This window comes from Homo sapiens, chromosome 13 (assembly GCF_000001405.40).
Source record: "Homo sapiens chromosome 13, GRCh38.p14 Primary Assembly".
NCBI classification, from domain to species: domain Eukaryota; kingdom Metazoa; phylum Chordata; class Mammalia; order Primates; family Hominidae; genus Homo; species Homo sapiens.
The window spans coordinates 21,682,674-21,705,171 of record NC_000013.11 but is presented as its reverse complement, the minus strand read 5'-3'; the positions used below and the strand labels follow the sequence as shown (position 1 = coordinate 21,705,171).

At 41.2% G+C, this 22,498-nt stretch overlaps 1 protein-coding gene across 2 annotated transcripts in view, besides 1 other annotated feature; it reads right to left on the bottom strand.

The window, feature by feature from the left end:
* FGF9 (fibroblast growth factor 9) overlaps positions 674–22,498 on the bottom strand; it is a 33,426-nt gene continuing 11,601 nt past the window's right edge. For both annotated transcript variants that reach the window (NM_002010.3, XM_011534996.3), the window contains exon 3: positions 674–3,982. In NM_002010.3, the coding sequence (NP_002001.1) occupies positions 3,737–3,982 (246 nt within the window). In that variant the 3' untranslated portion in view covers positions 674–3,736. The remainder of the gene's footprint in view (positions 3,983–22,498) is intronic.
* Positions 18,031–18,150: an enhancer, noted in NCBI's record as "active region_7441". NCBI's record gives its function as "activates an Ori minimal core promoter by ATAC-STARR-seq in GM12878 lymphoblastoid cells {active_cell/tissue: GM12878}" and the evidence as "EXISTENCE:reporter gene assay evidence [ECO:0000049][PMID:35858748]".

Below are 22,498 nucleotides of genomic sequence, written 5' to 3'. Positions count from 1 at the left end.
TCACACATTTGTGACCAAACATTCTGTGGCCAGGGTCCATCCTACAAACCTGAAGCCCTGAATTTTGGACCGTGTCCTAAGGAAGTAAACGCAGTTTATTGTTATAATTCCTCCCCATTCCACTTTTAAGAATAAAATATAAGTTTTAAAATGTGAAATGTCTCTGGATGCATGTGGGTATCATAGAGCACGTAGGCCACATGTATACACACGTACACTTGAGAGGGCCTTGGTGGCTAATATTTCTTTCTATTCATCTGGCATACTCCCCGACCCCCACCATTTCATTGCTTTTTCGTGCAAGTGACCACAAACAGTGGATCTAAATTTGGCACATTTCAAGGTCAAGTGATGCAGCAAACAGAATCTGACGTCAAACAATATGACTTTGTCCATTCACCCGTCCACGTAAATGTGCACACACACTTAGCCTCGCTTGCTCCAAGTTCATAAATCTTCATCCCAGAACATGACTTGCTTCTTCATCGAACACTTACAGAGAGAACACATCTGGATATGTTTGTTCCTTCCCCTCCATCCCCCATAACCCTCAACCCCTCAACACATAGCACAGCTGTAAGAGCAAGGAGAACATGCTTTTTAAATTCCATTGGCTCATGTAGGCACAGAATGTGAAGCAGCTCCAAAATGGACATCAAGTAAAAAATACCAGTTTTCAAAACTCTGTAATTATGTATTTACACAAATTACATAATCCTGTATGTATTTACATACAATTACAGATTATCAAGTAAATAACACAAGGTTGTAGTGTTAATGAGATGAAATAGAATAAAAACACCAGAAGGCAGCCATTTGTTTATCTACAAAACAGGACCTGGCAGGGCAGGTTCCCCAACACTGACCTAGCATGTCCTTCACCACTGCTTGGGGACATTCACATGACAGATGGGAAGGTTGTTCAGCCCATGCTCGGTAAGTCTTTGACCACAGTGCAAGTGTTGGCACCAACAAGACAGTGGTTTGGCTATCTAAGCATCTGTTTGTGAAACCAGAACCCCCATTCCACAGTGGCTCAGGGCTGCCATTCACTGGGCTTTGGGTCTCTTAAGACAAGAACTGGATGCAAACCCATGAGCTGGGGATGACTCACTCTACTGCCCAAGAGACAATGCCCACACCGAAACCCTGAGCCATCCACTCTCCCAGTTCCACTATTTACATAAATCGCATGAGTCAATATTTATTTATTTACAGACCATTACAGTTTATTGTATCAATTGCCAAAAGCATATAACAATTTGCTCGTCTTAAAAAAAAAAAAAGTACCAAACAAAATTAACTCCAAAAGTAGACCTTAAAGTAGCGTTTTATAGGAATGCATGAAGATTTTTGTCTTTTTCACAATTTTCTTTCTTTTAGGTCGATTATCTAAGGTCTCATGCTACTTTAAGACTACTTTTGGCTGTCACCTAAAATCAATTTTTTCAGTGCTACATAGTATACCTATGACATCCTAGAAACTTGATTCTTCCCTGTGGTCAAATGTTTAATATTTTTCAGCCAAAAAAAAAATGCCTTTTGGAAAAACTAAAGCCTGAATATGTGCACATTTTAGCAGCAGCAAAGGGTTAAATAATAAATAAGAATACTACTTTTTGGAATTAAATGCAGTTTCTGTTTAGAAAGGAAAATAAAACAAGAAAATAAATGAAGAGGACATTCTGAGCTTTATCATAAATCAACTATTTTACATTGCTTCTGTCCCCTCCCCCTAAAATATATCTTAATTCCAAATATTAGACTTAGATTTTCCTTAATGCACATCAGCAGGAGGGCATTGCCATGTACTCCAACTTGGACCACAGAAAGGCAAGACATCGTCACAATAAGTCATGCGCTTCTAGCTCATAACAGCTGTCACTCACCAGTGACACACTTTTATTTTTCATAGAGAATGTGCATCAGAGCAAAATAAAGTTTGAATAGTAAATTTTAAAATTAGTTCAATAAATCCCAACACATGTTTAAACCGTCACTTTGCACTTCTCAACACAACTGGCTAGAAAGTGTCATATGTAGATGAGAATTTGTTATAAATTCCTTTTTTCTTAAATATTGCTTTAAGAATTTGGCTCTTTTCTCCTTAGTATATAGTAAGAAATAGTCTCGCTTGCCCAAGGGCAAGTTCCAAAATTATTGCTACTAAAGAAATACGTATTCTTATGCTTTTCAGCATAAAATGTTATAAAAGCCTTGTAAAAGATATTCTATATAGTAATATCCCCTCTAAAAAAATTGAGCGCTTGTGGAGACCATTTTAAAAAACAAAACACAGTCAACAAGTATAATACTTTCCCCCTCATTGTCATTATTGATAACGATTTATTAGTTTCATTTTGCAAGTTTTACTAAGGGTGCTATTACCACGTAATTATGACAGTTCACACTGATAGCCATTTTCTCTAAAAGATGTTACAATGACCCCTATGATACTTCTATAATTTCATATTTGATAGCCAAGTGAACCAAAAAAAGTTTACAAGTATGATCCTGTTAATCTGATTCTTACGTCTTTAAAAAAAATAGTCTGTGCTATGTACTTTTTTTTCCTTTTTTGAGAATTCTAAATCAATACAATGTTTGATGTTAATACTGTCATTCTGGAGATCGGCTAAAATGAAAGCATAGTTATTATTTAGCTTTGGTATATTCTGCGACAGATTTAAACAAGTAAGACATATATCAACCCTCATATTTTCCAACCATGAAGTTACAATAGTGGAGTCACTTATGAGAGAGGAAATATTGCAGACACAGAATCAAAGTTTGAGACCCAGTTTATCTTTAATCCTCTGGGATAAGCTATGAAACAAGCAGTCTGAAGAGTGAATACTCAGTGTCATGAGCGATGTGCATAAGTTTACAATAATATGGGCACAAAAGAGATTGTCGCCTTTAGTACATTAGGGTCATTAGAATTTCTTATATCCATGCACCATTATATCTACTTGCATGAATTTACCACAGGTTCATAGCGGACTTTGCCATTTAATGCTTACAGAGCCTAAAGCTTCCAAAATGCCTATCTGGCCTGTACATGTTTCATTAAAAATAAACTCTATATAATAAATAAATATATAAAATAAATAAAATGTTGCCTTTGGAATTTCTATAAATAAATTTAACTTTTTTTATTTTTATTTTTTATTTTTTTTTATTTTTTACTAAGAGGTCTTTGCTTTAAGTTCACTGCGATGATACCAGTGAGAATTAACTGAAAGTCTTTTAAGTAAGACTGCACCCTCGCGCAGGCCACCAGCCAGAATCCTGATAAGTCGAAGTATGGCAGCTGTGCTGATATAGGATGAAGTACAACTGATCAGAAATGAAAAGCGTGTCTTTTTCCAGCATGCATCAGGCCGCAGTCCTTTTGCTCTCGCTCCGCCCACATCTCCCGCTACACACATACACACACACACACACACACACACACACACATACACACACTCCTAGCGCTCAGTCTCTCTCTCTCTCCTCTTCTCTCATGATAAATCAAGCAAGTGGCCCTAGGCAGCCCTCCAGGAGGAGAAGCCTTTAAGTGCAGAACAAAATCAGCATATTCCCATCCAAGCCTCCATCATACATTATGCATGCGACAAAGTTTGGCAACAGTGGAGCTGATGTGATGACACAGCGAATCAATAAGAACCCACCGCGTGAAACCTTTATAGTGGTTACTTTTTTAAGGGCTCAAGTGAAGAAACTGTCTTTGTCAACTTTGGCTTAGAATATCCTTATACAGTTCAGGTACTTTGTCGGGGTCCACTGGTCTAGGTAAAAAATGTGTGAATTTCTGGTGCCGTTTAGTCCTAGTCCCTTCTCTCGGGGTCCCATCTTTATTTAATGCAACATAGTATCGCCTTCCAGTGTCCACGTGCTTATATAGGTTTGATGAGTACGTATTATACCAGTTTTCTTCGAACTGTTCTCTGAATACACACTCTTGGGTTAGTTTTTCCTGTAAAAAGAAAAAGAGGGAGAGCATTAGGAAAAATAGCTAATGCATGCTGGGCTTAATACCTAGGGGATGGATTGATAGGTGCAGCAAACCACCTTGGCACACGTTTATCTATTTAACAAACCTGCGCATCCTACACATGTACCCCAGAACTAAAAATTAAAATTAAAATTTTTTAAAAAGGTAAATAAATATGTTGCATAATTAGCTACATTCAATATTAAAAGTAACATTCCGTTGCTACACAATATAACCCCCATGAGAAAACACTGATGTTTTAGCCCATTTTAACCATTTTAATGCATTTTGCAAAAACTGCCTAACCCTACAAATTTAACTACATTCTAATCTCTAACTCATAATGACTAAAACACTAAAGAGTCTAAACGTTTTCTAGTTAAACTCTTGCACATACCAATCATTTGAATGAGTCAAATGCAAGGAACACCTAATGTCATACGTTGTTCCCATTTTTCCTAGAGCAGCTATGTGGTGACCACACTGGGAGGGAGAGCCTGTGCCTGTGGCAAGGCTCAGATATAACAGCTTTAACACCAGTATATATTTTATAAAGTACCTGCTGCAGAGATCAACATTAGCAACATGATCAGTGATGTCAGATATGTTCTGCCCTTTTTAGCAGCAGCATTTACTTACTACTCTCTATGAGTGGTTTTTAAACTTCATTCCGTGTATAGCAGAATCACCTGAGATGCCTTTTCAAGATGCAGACTTCTGAGCCCCAAACCTTTAAAACTCTGATTCAGCAATTCTCAAAATATGCATTTTTAACAGGTCCCTGGGAGAATTCTAATGCAGAATCCTAACTCTCAGTCTACATTTTAAAACATAATGCTTCTATCATGACTGAGTTTTCCTGAATCCAACGTAAAAGCAAATATTCCGGCCTTTTCCTTGAATTTACATAGAAGAAGAGACCCCTAACTAAAAAAGCTACATTCTCAGGTTCACAGATACCAAGAAGAAACGTGCATTGATCCAGATCACAAAGCTTCTGCATCTTCCCAGATGGACTACACTTCCTCTCTACTCGAGCTTTATGAAAGCTGGGGTTCAGTTGAACCCCACAACCTAGGGCTCCTGGGGTTGCAAAACTCATGGGCAGTAACAACAAAAATAACACACACACACACACACACACACACACACACACCACATCCCAAAGCTGTGAACACGCCCCAGGCAAAAATGTGTGCATTGAAGCTGGCCCCTAGAGAAATAAGGTGACAGGACTTACTGGCCTTTTTGCTCTTCTCACTGTTCAACTGAAACTTTTAAAATCGATATCTTTAGTGTTTAAAACAGTAAACACGAAAATAACTTGTTAGAAATAGTTTCTTTTCTCTTACCTACCTGGCGCCTTATATAAATAAGAAAACAAGCAAATACAGATAAGGACATTCGTTTCTGTCATTCAGACCCAGGGGACAGACAGTAAACTTTATACATCACCAAAATACAGACAGTTCTCTTTCCAAGTATGTAGTTAAGGACCCAATTTAATAAAATGAATTCACAGATATCAGTTGGGTAGAATCCATCATCCCCAACTCCTTGCAGAGTAAGTCAGGAGAGCAAAGGAGAGGAGAAAGGGACAGAATTTGACAAAATCAATCAACAGCCCATCATGAGGCCACCTTCTCTAGGTCCCCTCCCTAATCCAAAGGCTTAAACCACACTCAAGAGGTCATGAGGGCCGGCACTTCCTGACAAGTGCTCTTCTATGTGTTTGGAAGCACTGAGTAGGTTTTTAGCAAAATACTATCTCACTGGACAAGTTTTGCTAAGTGAGCTGAAATGGGGGGAAGCAGAAAGGAAAGACAATGCATCAGGCAAAGACAAAAAGGATGGGAAAACTTTAGACCTCTGGTGCTGTGTTCATGGGGACAGAATGAATCGCAGAAACCAAGCCCCACCCCAAACTGGAATACTCTCACCTGAGGGTGGCCGGGAGAAGCAGCTCTACCCCACAGGAGGGGTGCACAGGAGAGAGGCACTCCTGCACCCTCCTCTGCATGTGGGCCTAGAGGGGTGCTCTTCTGGGGCAACCCAACCTCCTCCTTAGCTGGGGAGATTGGGCTGAATGTGACTTCCCTCTCATCTCTATTGAAACGGATAGAAGTTTAAGTGTGTTAAAGACATTAATGGCTATTTTAGTCCTTACTTCCATTTGCATAATAGTCTCCTCACAGGCAAGATTATTCCTGGCTAAAAATAGCTGGTTTCGGTTTGCTGTAATTAAGTGAAATTTCTAAACAAATATGTGCATTTTTTTATCATTAATAAAACAGACCAAAAGATGGGATTGGATGAGCTTTTAGTTCTACAAGGGACAAGAAAAACTAATTAAAAGTCAGCTTTCTTTTTTCCAGCAGGAAATCACATCACCTACAAACACTACGGAATTAAACTGTATTTTAAATGTAGAACACTTCCTCCTCCTTTTTGAGCCATGAGTGAGGTGCTAGCTTATATTTCCTCTGCATACATAGCACACCCATAGCACAATGGTTTTTCTTGGATCAGAAACAGATACACAAAAGTCCCAGCAGAAGATAATGAGTTTATGTGATGGGAAAGCCTGACGTTGGAGTGAGAAGCCTGCTCCTATCCCAGCTTCACCCGTCACTAGCTGCAGGGCTTTACAACTGGTTCTCTCACCTCTCCAAGTCTCAGTAACCTCATCTTTACAACAGGTTAGTAATAAGTGTCTTGAGGCAGGGTTGTGACAGAGATCCAATCAGAGAGCAGTGCTGAACACCGAGGAAGCTCCCAGTCAACAACAGTGTTGTTAATATCACATTAACATCTTAACATCTTAGAACCTGAATAAACCTTAGAAAACAGCAAATGCAGCTTTTCCAGTTAAAATACATGGGACAGCAAGGCCCAGATGTGAAGCAATTTGCGCCTGGTCTGTGCCACAGGATCTTGTTATTATGTAATGAAGCCACCAGAGCAAGAAGTTTCCAGGAGCCCTAGCACAGCCACCACCCTCTTGGGACCAGGCCCTTCCACTTTTCACTTTTCACTAAGCATAGTAAAAAGAGTCTTACGTGGGGGCCGGGCGCAGTGGCTCACGCCTGTAATCCCAGCACTTTGGGAGGCCGAGGCGGGCGGATCACGAGGTCAGGAGATCGAGACCATCCTGGCTAACACGGTGAAACCCCATCTCTACTAAAAATACAAAAATATTAGCCAGGCGAGGTGGTGGGCGCCTGTAGTCCCAGCTACTCGGGAGGCTGAGGCAGGAGAATGGCGTGAACCCGGGAGGGCGGAGCTTGCAGTGAGCCAAGACCGTGCCACTGCACTCCAGCCTGGGCGACAGAGAGAGACTCCGTCTCAAAAAAAAAAAAAAAAGAGTCCTATGTGTCTATTTCAAAATGCAATTTTTGAATAATTCTATTTATCTGCAGGAGGAATGAGTGGAGAGGGCAGGAAAATAGCAATCGTGAACAAAATTCCGCAGTGGTAGAGGTATCACTATCTAAGAATGAAACATGAAATTGTTTTCAGTGCTTAAGAAAAGATTCTCATTTTATACTTTTTTAAAGAATACGAAAACCCCCCTTTTAAAAAAGTAAATATGCTAAGAAATTGAACTGACCTTTTCACTGCCAGTTAACACTGCCCTATTTCCCTAGCAGGCTATTAGAGCATCGTTCACGCACACACATAACTCAGAAAATAAAGCCAATTATTCAATTTCAAACAGTATCATTGGCCAGGCACAGCAGCTTATGCCTGTAACCCCAGCACTTTGGAAGGCCCAAGCAGAAATATCACTTGAGGCCAGGGGTTCAAGACCAGCCTGGAAAACATAGTGAGACCCCCATCTCTACAAAACAAAAAATTAGCTGGGCATGGTGGTGCACACCTGTAGTCCAAGCTACACAGGAGGCTGAGGCAGGAAGGTCACTTGAGTCGAGGCTGCAGTGAGCCGTGATTGTGACACTGCACTATAGCTTGGGCAACAGAGTGAGACCCTGTCTCTAAAAATCAAAAACAAACAAAAGAAAAACAGTATAATCTACAGCCAGCATTTTTTGTGATGGCTGAGTCCAATTCCAATTGTCTCATACACAGGAGGGTTATATAACTTCAGTCAACAAGTTAAATGAGATTGTGCAAACATGACATTGCAAAATCACCGGTACATTTTAGCTCCTGCAATTACACCAATTATGCCACACAGATCAGTTTAGATCCCTTAAAAATTAAAATTATCATGAAAAGTTATAAAGACTGTGTTACTCATCTAAATCATACATATGCTTTTAAATAATTTCTTCCTCTTATTGGGGATTATGCCAATGTGTGATTTTTGTTTTAGACGGAGTAGCAAGATCTACAGAAATAATCTCTTTAGGATCACACTTCAGTACTTAGTGATACAATATTTAGTTGAGGTGAAAATACTTATGTTATGTATTTCTACTCCAAAATCATTTCTCTAAATAAAAAATAAGTAAATGAATGCAAATTTGGATAGCAAAAAATATTAACCTGTATTCTTATATAGATGTGCGGATGAAGGGAAGGGGTAGGGGAAGGAGTGTCTGCCTTCAAATAAACTATACACTCTAGAATTATAGAACTCAGATGTTTTAAAACCCACCACGTTTCTAATGCAGACGGTTTATAGAGTATTCCACTATAAAGTGATCAATTCTTGTTTTATTGTGTTTCCATGTTTTAATTTTTTTTTAGATTATTTAACTATAGCTGTTTATGGCATACCTATCTTTGAACTGTTGGATTATATCACTAGGCTTGGGTGGAGAATGTGGATTTAATTCAAAAGTCTACTAAAGTCCATGCTTTGGAACAAAATCTGGTGAATGTTAGCAACGATGGAAACCTCTTTTCATTTTATATCATCAAATTCCAAGCGGTGGGAAAAACTGAAATTAAAACTTCAAAACTTTTACCAAATCCTATTAAAACCAAAGTATGAGATAATAATGTGAAAATTATAGTACAGCCCAGGGAATGCTTAGGAATGTTATAACACATAAACTTATACTGACACTATTTAAAAATATTAGACAATTTGAAAAAGTGTAATCCACATGGGCAACATTATGCTCAATTCGTATCTATGCCCACTTAAAAAATGAAGCCAGAGTTGTTTCAAAAGTCAAGACTTAGTAATAGTTATTGAAAACGTATAGACTTACGCCATGCTGTTATTTTAAAACATAATTTCCATATTAATAAACATGTGGTGTCGTTTTGTCCACATGTTTGCATTTATTCTACTCAATGGGCCGCTTAGACTACTTGCTGCTATGTTATAAACTACTACAACACATCAGCTTATGATCAGTGACTGTACAGACATTGACTTCACTGTAGAGGTCCCAAACATTTCATAAGTTAATGACTTCAATGTAATCATTCATTCTCATATCTACTGTTTATTACAGTCATGATATTGTAAACCTCCCTTAACCACAATTACTCGTACAGATGTACTCTTCCTCATTAATAATCTAGCAGTAAAGCCTTAATGGGAGTTGTTGCAAGGATCAGGGTGATTAAATATAATGACTAAAGGACCGTTAATAAGAAGCCAGGTCTTTTCACTCTCCTCTCATGGGAGAAGTCCCCAACTACACAGAAAGCAACAAACACAGACAGACGAGGCAAGAGGGCACTATTTATTTCATGAGAAGCTCCCACCCAGACCCAACCCAATATGGCTCACCTCAAGCCCTGTTTTCCAAAACCTCTAAATTCCCCAGTATTCCAGATGGGCCCTGCTTTTATATCCACATTCCTGGCCATCAAAATTGCCACCAGAATTGTGGGAACAATTGAATCAGTTGTGTCTGGTCCACATAAACAAAATAAACCAAGTAGGTAGGCCATTTTTCATTTTGTCTCATCAAAGTATATAGGAAACTAAGAATTCCTAAATTCTCTCCACTCCTCCTCCACCTAAAACAAAAAACGAAAAGGAAAACAGAAAAGACCCTTTCCCAGAAGCTGCTTACGTCAATATTTGGGAACTCAATGATATGGGTCCCAGGCTGAATCTAGTCTCTCTCACACACACACACACACACACACACACACACACGCACACACACACACGCACACATCTTCAGTGCTGCATGCTCACCAACCATGTGGTACCCAGTCTGCTGCCAAGGACAGAACCTGCCAAATATACCACAGGACAAACTAGACAATTGAGAGGTCTTCCTTGGAAGCTGCCTATAAAAATGAATGTTTGTTTAGCAAATCATATTAGCTCATAAACTTTTAACACATGTTCAGAGGGGTACTCCCACAGAGGAAAGAAAGTCTTGCTCAGGGAATAATAGAATTCAAGTTTTCAAAGTTTAATATTTACTTTGAGAAGTATTTTTGCTTGTGTTAATGTTTAGTCAATGTACATTTAATCATTCCATAAACAAACCTACAGGAAAAATTCATCAAATTTAACATCTTACAACATCAAGTTGAAAAAAAAATCACATATAACATTTTTCCCCCATAGACTAGTGTCTGGTAAGAGTAGTAAAATAATTCAATGATCACTTAAAATGCACATCAAAGATATGCAAAAGCTGAAAATACTTCAAATTAAACATTACTCAGTAAAAGCTGAGAGTAGAATGCCCTTGAAGGATCAGATTGGCAGACAACAGAGGAGAAATGGAAAGCTAAAAGGCTGAGAAGTAAAATTAAGGAAATAAGGATTCAAGAAAGACATGCTACAAAGACAATTGACTACATCTACTTTGTTCCCATGATAATCATGGGAGATACTGGAAGGGGCAGAATTTTTTTTAATGTACCAGACTTTCTATGATAGAGAAAGCAGACTAAATTCAGCACATGATTTGTAGAAATAAAAGGACAGAAAACGAAAGATTAACAAATAGAATGACAGTATAAGCTCAAAGACAGATTTTGAAAACTAAAAGATGCACAGAGTGTCCCTAGTAGAGGCATGCTGACCTTCCAGCAACACACACACATACTCGGGTAACTGTGGGTGAGTCGATTAACATTCCCGGGGCTCCATTTTCTCCTCTGTAAAAATGAAAAAATTGCACTAAGATGTCTAAGGTCCCTGTAAGCCTAAGATTCTAGTGATTCAGTCTTGGAAACATCAAAATGTGGAAAGCAAAGTTATCCACAGTAACTCTGGAAGGACATATTGAACAGGAAATGAAAAAAGGGACTCAGTGCAGTTGGAAAACAGGGAAAGAAACCAAATGAAACGGGCTGCATCAACTTGCCCAGTGCAGCAGGGAGGGGCAGAGGATGGAAAACACAGACTGCGTTCACGCTTCCAGAAGGCGGCAGAGAATGAGATTGCTGTTTCAAGGAGGAAAGGACAGGGAAGAAGACAGCCACTTTGGCCCCAGGGGCTCTCCTTCTCTTCCCCGGGAGACCACTGGGAGGATACAGTCCTCGAAGGCATCGCTACTTCCTTGCACTCTGGGGCCTGCCGCATCCTCTTCCCAATGTTGGCCTCAATAGACAGGGCTCATTCATGAACTGTCGGCTTGACCAATAAACCCTACATCATGAACTGCCCAAAGAGAACTTACTGGGAAGAAAAGCCAAATCCCATAAGAAAACAAAAAGTTAGCAATGTCATAGCACACTCAAATCTGGGGGAGCAGCTGGACATAAGCACAAGGCAGAGAAAACGCACCCTGAAGATCAATGATGCCAGGGATCCCTGGGCACTATATGATATTTCCACGTGGCTCTTGAATTTCTCAGATACCCACAGCGGATGCCCATGTCCCCTCAGCACCCCCATGTCCACCCAATACCCACAGAGAAGTCCTAAGCAAGAATGCAAGGGAGATGAGGCTGTCCCTGGCACCCTCCCCACTCCTTGGGCCCCAACTCCTAGCCCCCACTATACTCACATCAGCCCCGATTTCTCGGGAACTCATCCCTTATGCTGACACCACCTTTTGATAGATTAATAGAAATGGCCCTTCCCCTCCTCAACACTGTGGTGGGCTATGTCTAATTCTCTCAAGGATAAGGTGACCTGACCATCTGGTCATTCCATTCCTCCAAGACACCAAATGAATATGCTGGCATGGACCTTTTTAAAAATTGTGCCTTAACCCTGAGAGACCGTCTCTGATGACAGAATTTTGGGTGCTATGGCAGCCTGTAAGTTCACCATGTAAAAAATAATAAGTATAATCACAAAGTAAATTAAACCCCTCATAAAAGAAATTTGTTTAATTGAGCAGATAAAATAATCATGAGCAGCACATGAGAATAAAGTATGTAAAATTAATCTTGGTAAATAAGGCTTTATTGTTGGCATTTTAATATATAATTTGAGGAATGTCATGTTGGGATCTGGAGGAAATTTTTTATTTATCTTCGGAGGCTGTGTCATGGGTCTTAATTTCAGAATTCAAACTCGCAAGAAACACAGTGTCAGTGCGTCTCTCGTGTGAGTACAGCATTTCTGTCACCCCCACACACTTGGGAGCGTGACCATGTGCTGAGCAGACACAAAAGTCAAGCACTACATGGGCCACTTTGTAGGCGTCATCTTCTCTAATCCTCACAGCCCAGCTATGAAGTGTCTATCGTTAGCCCGTTCTATAGCCTCAGCTCAGAAAGAGTGAGAAGACGGCCCATGGCTGCAGGGCCAGTGAGTGACAAAGTGGCGATCCCGGGGCCTGTGCTTCCACTAACCGTGCTTCATCTCCAAGTTGCAACTGGTCAGCATGCAAGTATAGACTAGAGTCTCCCATCAAAACGCAGCAAAATGAAAATCAGCTTGAAAAAGAGAGAAAAGGAAAAAGAATACAAGCCAAGTCAACACAACCAGAAGAAAAATAGCTGAAACACAGAAATTCACATGGAAAACGAAAGAAGGGGGGAAAAGGAAGGGAGGAAGCAAAGTGGGGAGGGAGAAAGAAAGGAATAGAGCAGGAGAACCTAAAGCTGAGAGCGGACAGCTGATTATGTGTGAACACACAATGCAACATGGCAGCTAAATAGGCAAAAATAATTCAGGGCTACAGCAAAACAATCACGCTATGTACCATGGGGACAGGGATGTCTTTGGTACGACCTTGGCAAGTCTGTTCTTAGAATACTGCATTTAAGCTTTGGGCACTTCATTACAAAGAAGCAGCAAACTTCAACAGAGATTTCAATGAAGAATTACAAAAAAAAAAAAAAGATTAAAAGGGAATCAATTAATGTCAGGATCGTAAGCATTTAGAGACAGCATGAAGAAGACAGCTCTGAGTGTGGCTCTCACACTTAGCACCATAACCTTTTAGTCCTCGGGGGAAGCCCTCTGCAACGGGGGTGTCAGGGATGCAGACATTTTTCTCAGCCGGTTGTCACAGTGCCACTGAGGCACACCAGGCCAGCCGGCTGACAAATGATGTTTCTGACCAAGTTCAAGTCAGTCCCTGGTGAGGGGGAGTCGGGAGGGGTGAGGCGACCAGGCCACTGCCAAAGCTGGCCCAGGACAGTGGTTCCCACTCCACTTTGTAAGGATGGAGGGCATCTCTCGGGCCAGGACGCTGAACGACAGCCCCGGAGGGGCTGCTGATGCTGACAGGGGAGGACTCTCCACATGTCAGCAAAGATGCCTCTGGCAGCAACTAGGATAAACAGAAGCAGAGACAAGATGAGGCAGATGAGGCAGGGACAGAGGAAAGACCACAGAATCCGGAGACATCCAGAAGCCTCCATGTTTCTAAACCCTGCAGCAAAGTTGCCTTCTTGGCTGAAAAGGTTTCTCTACTGAGAACACCTGCCTGTTTTTCTCCATCTCCTCTGTGAATAATCCTGACATTCTCTCCTACTCCTAGAATTAAGCTCCCTCCTGCAAGCTCTCCAAGCCCCTTTTGTTTATAATTCTAACATTCATCACACCAAATTATAATTCTTGGTTTACATGTCTGACTCCCTCAATGAAGTTGCAAGTTCTTCCTGAATCAGCTCTAAGATCACCCACATGAGGAAGTACATTTGCATTTGTAGGTACAGCTGATTCTCCTTATTTGAGGTAGTTAAGTTCTATAAAGTCTCCTAGAATACTGAACCATTGCTCCCGGGGGAAATACAGGGTTGGGTTCCTGTGAGCCTCTGGTCATAAGATTTTTGTCAGCCAACAGATACGTAACCTTGTTTTATGTGTGTTTCTGTTGAATGACACCTCATTTAATATCTGTTGCTGATTAATTAACATCAAACTCACAACCAGCGGCTTCTCTAACACACATATTTGCTCCTTAAGCCGCATTACAGCCTTCTTGCGCTTAGCAACAGTTGACCGCACTTCAGTATTACACTGAGGATGTTTTCTACAGCAAAATCACCAATAAAAAGCACAAAACATGGCACATGGCACGAAACAGATCCCAAAGAGGACCCTTGCTTCCAGCAGAGCTGAGACAAGAACAGCATCTTCTTCAACCTCAGCTGGGAGCGTGTGCATGGATGCTACTCACATTTTTTGCCCACGACCACAAATAACCATGAAAGTCAGACAAATATTGATTTGGGGGTTACAAGCAAGTTTTAGTAAGTAGGCGAATTCACAAAAACCAGAATCTGTGAACAATGAGGATCAACGTATTTCCAGCACCTACAAAGCACCCAGCATGCATTATTAGTAGGTAATCAATAAGACTTGTTGACTTTGGGAAAGAAAACAAGAAACAAGGGGTTGTGAGGTAGTGCATGAGTATGAGGGTGTGTGTGTTGTAGGTGAATGCTAGTGTGTGAGTGGGTGTGAGCAAGTGAGTGTGTGTATAAGCACGTGGGTATGTCTGTGAATGGAAGAGTGAGCAAGTCAGTGTGTGTGAGTGAACTATGAAAAGAAGAATGTGTGTGAGCAAATGAGTGTGTAAGCATGGGAGTACTTGTGTGAATGGGAGTGTGTGAACAGAAGAGTTAATGTGTACATGAGCATGTAAGCGTGTTATGTGTGGATGGAAGAGTGTGTGAGTGTGTGAGCGAGTGTGCGAATGTGTGACTGATTACAGAGAGCTTCCAATTTGAGCCCTATTCTGAATCAGGCTGTGCAGCAGTATTAACTCAGGGAACCCAGAGAGACTACGCTACCCTGGAGAGAAGTAGGAAGCTCTGCAATTCAGGAACTGACCATGACACTGAGGCTCTGGTTGAGGGGTTCTCCAGGGTTCCATGCAATGAACAATCCATTCTGAAAACAGGGGTGATGTGGGAGAGGTGAGAGGAAGGAATGCCAGGATTTAGGAGGCCAGGAGGTGGAAGAAGCAGGAAGAGCTTGGAGACGCTGGGCTTGGGCCTCTGTTGTCCCTGAAGCCACTGTCACCTGGTTATCCTTGCAGACCCTAACTTACAAGCTGATCAGACTTCTCCAGTGTGCCTCAAGGCTCAGGATGAGGGGAAGCAGGAGTCAGCACTGTCAGGAAGCCACAGACAAGAAAGACCCTCACACAGACTGCTCAGTGAGGAATTCATTTGAAAGTGTTAATGAATTCAGAGGAATTGCTGTCATAATGCATTCTTTCAATCATAAGACACTTAGAAGTGCAATTACTAGCATGTGGGGCTCCCTAACACTTTTTATCAAAAAAGGAACCTTATACTCAAAATCAGGAACCACAGGTCTACATGTCAACTCCTCCAGCTCTCAAATACCTATTCAAGAATCAAGTACTTATCAACTAGGGTCTGCCTAGTCCATTTTTTGTAAGAAAAAAAAAAAAGATGATTTGGGATCCCACTGACAATACATTCATTCGTTCAACATTCATTAGGTGCCAAGTGCATGCAAGACTCGGTTTTAAGCACTGGCAGGACCATGGGAAGCACAGTCACCAAGTCCCTGCCTTCGCAGAGCTCTGCTTTACAAAATGGGGCAGCTTTAATAGGCATCTGACTCAGGGCTTCCCAAAACTACTCTCTCAGGCTCTCTTATCAGGCTTCTCAGGCAGGGACCCAGGCAGGGGCACTTCAGAAAATGCAGCAGTGTGAAGCAGGGAAGAGAGTAAAATCCAGCGTGGGAAAGAGGGGCGTTGGGCTCATGTGCGAAAGCTGCACCTGTTCTTAGGAAAACTCTGCTCCGGGATTCCTGAGCATGTTCCTGGGAACCCACGACAATATTCCTCCAAATTCGCATCCCAGACGGGAAATGTCTCTGCTGAGCAACTAATAATTTAAAATAATCCTTTCCCAAACCTGGAAAATCTCCAGACCTGTGTTCTATACTAGCTTGGGATGTTTTAAGTATGCCTTAGACAATTAGTAAATGTAGCTACCATGCTCAACACTGTAACTAAAATCAAATAGATACATTATTTTAAAAGACGATTGTCCACTAACTAATGGCCAGCAGTATAGATGCTAAGGAAACAAATGAACCACTAAGTTAAAACTAGGCTACTGGAAAAAAAAAAAAAAAATCCTCCAAAATCACATCTGTGTAAGAAATATTAAAACCTTGCCCCACTATATGGTTAATTCCAGTTAAAAATATTCATGTGATTAATTCTAGTAAATATATTTTTATTTACAAAAATGGATGGCCACTCTTAACATGCATATGTATCAGACAAGATTTACTAATTTACCTACATTCAAATCCTGACTTGTCATCATCTATGTGACCTTCAACAAGTCACTAAGCCACTAAAATCTCACCTCCTCGTCTCTAAAACCAGGACGATGTATGGACTCAGTCATACAGCAGAAGCTGCCCTCCATATCGTCTAAGAATTATTATTCAATTCTTTGAAAATTGGTCACGCACATATGAAACACAGCATAAGGCAATGCTCAATTACTCAAAATATCCGTTGAAAACCACCCATCTCCAGGGCATGCCTGTTATCAGGTAGGTTACTAAGGAAATGAACCTATTCATCTCCTTTGTGTGAACTGCATTCTTTGTACAGGACGTGTCTGAACGTCTCCCATCAAAGCAATCGGAACTGAACCACTACAGTGACAAATCAGAAGCTGAGTGGTCCTTGCCATGTGGTGTGGTATCCTGTTCCACGAACACATAAGGTCATTCTCCTTGTTCAAAAGTGGCTCCAAATTGCTCCTGCAGAGCACCTGACGGAGACAAGGGGGTCTCTGATGAACTGCATGGGTTGGCCTCCGTCCCCAACTCTGACCCTGCCCAGAGCTTCGTGCCTATGCAGTGTTCTCCCACACTGGCACCGCAGATACCTAGAAGGCAAAGGGCATAATCTGCGGGGCCACAAGTTCCCTCCAAGAATGTCTTTACTTTGCCTTTCCAGGTCAATGAAAAAGTACTAGAATTGTTTTAAGGGTATCCAGGAGCCCACAGATGACCATCCCACAACCACATAACTGTCCCCCAAGAATGGACTGGGGTTTAAAATTATTGTCAGTGGTACACAGTGCTACAATACTTTCACCATCAGGACCAACAGGAAAAAGAAAAGGCACACTGAGTACATCGGTGGTGTGTCTGAGATAAGTGAAGATCAGATGAGATCATTTGTTGTCCCAGGAACTCACATAGGAAGAAGTGGGGCAGGGGAACAAGTCATCCTGAGGTGCTCTGCAGAACAGGCACCCTGAGCTCACAGGAAGCTGCACCAAGCGCCAAGGCTGGATTTACAGTGAGGCAGCATCTTCGTCTCAGTCAGGGAGCATCTTCCTTCATATGAAATCCACTGTGTCAGTGTGCATTTTACTGATCTTGCCGTTTAACTTGAATTTTGGCATATAAATGTTTTGAATTATAGTTGTCAAAGAAGTATAAGGAATTTATATCTAGTTATCTAGTTTAATGTGTGCACATATTCAAATAACATAATAAAAATAACCTAAGTCGATATAGGATTTTAAGGATCTGAGGTACTTCATTGTCTCCTTTTAAAGAGGTGGATATGTCTCTCAATTCTGGGACAGAGGGACCTACAGGGCTCCTGCCACCTGCCCCACAATATGGAACACCATGCAAGAAACTTCTTTGACTCATGTGTGTCTGCCCAGCAGAAAAAACTGCCCCAAATGAGGTATTTACTAAAGGAAACTTTCTGTGCTTTGGAAACAGAGTTGAAACCCATCATACCTTGGTTACTGATTACATGGAGCCATATAAACCAGGGCCCTGTTGTGTCCTTGGAAACATAACCAAACCTACTAGTAAACACCTGTTTTAAGAAGCACCTGTCAGGATGAGGCTAGGAACGGCTGCAAAGTACTGGTCTGAGGCAGTCAGCATGAGGCTGGTCCTCACTCTGCATCTACAAGTTTTGGGCCTTTGAGCAAGTCACTTAACCTCTCTCATTTTCAGTTTCAGTAGCTGACTAATTCCTGTGGAAACACCCTGACTCTACAAGTTCACAACCCTGTATCAGTGCTATCACTATTCGATGCTCATGTACAGTAGACACTGCATGTGCGTGTTCATGACGGAGTGAATAATTGGGTCAACAAACATTTACCATGTGCCAACTGCACATAAATTGCCCTGCCTGGTCTTCAAGAAATAGAAAAATTATAAAGCCAAAGACTCTGACTCCAAAAAATTTCATCTAACAAAGAGACCAGCAGGAATTACAATTCTGGGCAAAATAATGTAAGTGCTACAAAGGGATACAAACGAGAAATGTTAGCACCTCCCCCATCTCTGCGCCATCCTCCAGTGTCACTTTTGCAGACTCCATGCTGTATGTTCCAACATCCTTACAATGTTAGTACCTGTACCAGCTACGTTTTTTAAAGAAAAGGTCAATTCCTTTTGTTAAATGCAAGCTTCTTGAAGGAGATTAATTTTTTCATGGCATTCTTTTTTAAGGAGGCATTTATTATGGTCAATTATTCTTGATGTTTTAAAGTATCTTGAAAGCCAAGCATGGGGGCTCACGCCTGTAATCCCAACACTTTGGAAGGGTGAGGCTGGCAGATCACTTGATGTCAGGAATTCAAGATCAGCCCGGTCAACATGGTGAAACCCCATCTCTACTAAAAACACAAAAATTAGCCAGGCTTGGTGGCACGCACTGTAATCCCCGCTACTCGGGAGGCTGAGGCAGGAGGATGCAGTGAGCTGAGATCATGCCACTATACTCCAGCCTGGGTGACAGAGTAAGACTCCATCAAAAAACTTCTTTAAGTATTTTTATAATACTCAAACAGTTTAGATTAAGACTCTAAAAGTAATTATCAGAGCCATGCCTCTAAACTTTCTGATAAGAACAAAAGTGACCAATGTTAATGAATACTCTAATCCCCTGGCCAAGTGTGTAATCTAACATCCTCTCGAAATTTCAACCTGGCAGCGTATTTTAATTGTGACATTTGAAGGGTCACGTGACCTAACCTGCCTGCCCTTCCTTTTCTGAGGCTCCTATTTATCCCTCAAGACCCATTTTAAATGCTACCGCTCAACCTCCCCAAGCAGTTATTTAAACACTCCTCTGGGATGCCAAAACATCTGTCCATTCCTCTACTATGGGAAATTTCACACTGCCCTGAATTATTTACAAGTATAGCTATCTGTTTCATTGCTTTGCACTCATCACAGTGCTGGATGAGTCAAAGCTATAAATAGGAAATAAATAAGCAAATGAATGAACGGATACATGGACAAATTATCACGTGAATACAATAATCAAACACCATCCCCAAGTTAAAATTATTCATATTCTCCTTCTAATCAAATCGTTATACTCATTAGCAATATAGTTTTTCTTATTTCCACATTCTAATAGGATATCAGAATCCTGTATATTTTTCTGAAGAAGTATTAACCCATTTACCTCTGACCTTTTAGATCTACTCTCAAGGTAAACCTGAAGACAAAAACAAGCAAACAAAAACTACATAGATGAAAAGAGAAAATTAATCCCAAAATAGGAAAATACGCTTTAAATGAATTTCACATTTACACATTTACTTTACGAAAGTGATTTCCCCAAATCTCCTATTTACCTTCTTTCGTAATGAGATCAGTTTCTAACCGTTTAGAAAAAAAAAATCTCCAATTTAGTTTACTGAGCTTCATGCAACTTCACACAGATAAAGATTCCTGGAGGCTCCAAATGTTAGTGTATTTAGTAACACAACCATTGCCCGTTTCTTTCCTTCTCTCAATCTCATCACAATGAAAATGAGATATTTTAGTCACTCCTCATTCTCACTGCCACACGAGGCATGATAACCACAAACCCAGTGGGAAATATGAGATTCCAGCCCCTGAGGAACAAGACTTTCACTCTCACCTTCCCCCTCACCTGCTGGAGGAACAGACCAAAGGGAAATAACCTGCTGCCCAGGAGCCTCCCTCCCAGCTCCTTACAAAAGAGACAAAAAGGTCTCACTGCACAAACATTTTGTGTGCACAGAGAACATCATGGGTCACACAGAGAAGACTTGAGAAAGAAGGCTGAGAAATTCAAACTACAGAATTCTTGGGATCCATCCAGACTGGGAAGAAACATTCCAGATGTCTAACTCGAGCTCTTCATCTTACAGAAGAGGAGAAAGAGGGCCTGGTGCCTACTTCGTAGCAGATACAGAATGAGAGTTAACCATGCCCTTGACACTACATTATCTTTCCTCCAGCTTCAGCCTCATTCCCCCTCAGGCCACACACACCAGAGACAACACAGGCACACACAGGCCAATTATGCATAGAAATGGAAGATGGTGATTCCTCCTTCAACTGGAGACCTAAGTACACAGCAGCCATACAAGCGAGATACTGTGAGGCCACATCTATGCATCCAATGCGGGACAAAAATAATCATAATTTTTAAATCAGTTCAACCCAATGAGCGTTCATCGAGCACCTACTATGTACAAGAGCCATAGCTGTGTGTTAGGAAACCAAAAAAAAAAAGAATGTGGTCCATGCCCTTTAGATACATTAGGGAACAGAGAAATACAATTGACCACACTGTAAACTGTACTGTGACTTATGTAATAATGGGAACAAAGTATTCCTAGGGCCCAAAGGAAAACATAAGAAATGCTAACTAGAATAAATAGGATTAGAACTGGGGGTGTAATGAAGGTTTTGCAGAAGAAGTAATATTTCCATTGAATTTAAATAAAGAGTCCTGCTTCTTCAGGTGGAGAAGGCAAGAGAAAGGCATCTGAGAGAGAAATTCACTTGGCCACAAGTATAAATCAGACTGCATGATGTGTTTGGAAAACAGCAAATAGACAGACTCGAGTTGCATAGGCAAAGAGGCACACAGGGTGCTCCTGGCAAAGCAGATCCAGGCAGCGGTTCATCCTAAGCATTGGGTGCCACATTAAAGAACGTGGGCTGTATCCTTCAAAAGCAAGAATTTGAAGGGATCTCTGTGCACAAGTGACACTCCTGTCTGGGTTTTGAAGGTACTTCTGCCATCAGTGTGGAGAATGGATTGGAGACAGAAGACTAGGAAGGCAAGGAAGCAGCTGAAGACGTTTCCGCAAGGAAAGCATAATACGGAAAAGTGTCTCTCACAGCCACCCTTCCTTGGAGCAGTTTCCAAGCCTGGGCACTCTTCACGAGAGAAGATGTGTGCTTCTCAAGCACACACGGAAGAAGAGCCATTTTACCCTTTCTTTCATTGCCCTTTGCCTGACTGGGACTCCATGACTGGACTGTCGGCAAGATGTGCAGCTGTATGGCAGTGGTGACAAGTCTATTCCTGCCCACGCACTGTGTGTGTGCTCAAAAAGCCCAAGGTGAGGCAGCCAGGAGTCACAGAAAACCTAAGAAGACAGCTGGGCTTCCCAGAAAAGGGGAAAGATGGTGCTCTCCAGCTGTCTACCTGGCTGCCGTGTCCCACAGTATTGTCACTGGCACTCCGTGGGTCTACACTCAATGTCCCTCTCATGCTGCCCCAGGCACTGTGCTAGGAACTGGGGTGTGCCAGGCAGGAAGGCATGAGTAAGAAACCATTTAAATCATCCAGAAGGAGAGATGAGACAGCCTGGGCAACAATCCTACCAGCAGCTTTGCTGAACACAAAATTAGACATGCTCTCCTTGTCAACCAATAAACCACAGGAGTCTGAATCATGCTGGTGATTTCATCTGAAAGACTGGTCAGCTCTCAACTGGGAAAAATTCAGAGGGGTGTGCAAGGTGATCCTTGGAGTGGGGAACAAATAGTAGGGCCCTATTTAGGTTTCCTCATTCATTCTATTCTTTAAAATTGTTTACTTTGCTGTATCTCTTATAAAATAACATATATAAACTATACTTTGAGATAAACAATTTTAAAATAATTTAATATTTGAGATGCATACTCAAATTAAGTATATTTATTTGAAATGCATATGTTGAGATGCATATTCAAAAAAAATTTTTTTGGTGGGGATACGTGATCAAAAAATTTGGAGGCCACTGTGATAAAGTTCCATCTACACACTAAAAGTCAGAACTTCTCTTCTACACACACAAAAAAAGCATTTTATTGAGTTCAACTGTGACCCACTCAAACCCACATTACATACCTAAAAGCAAAAAAAAAAAAAAAAACTGAAGTTGTGACAAAAAAGA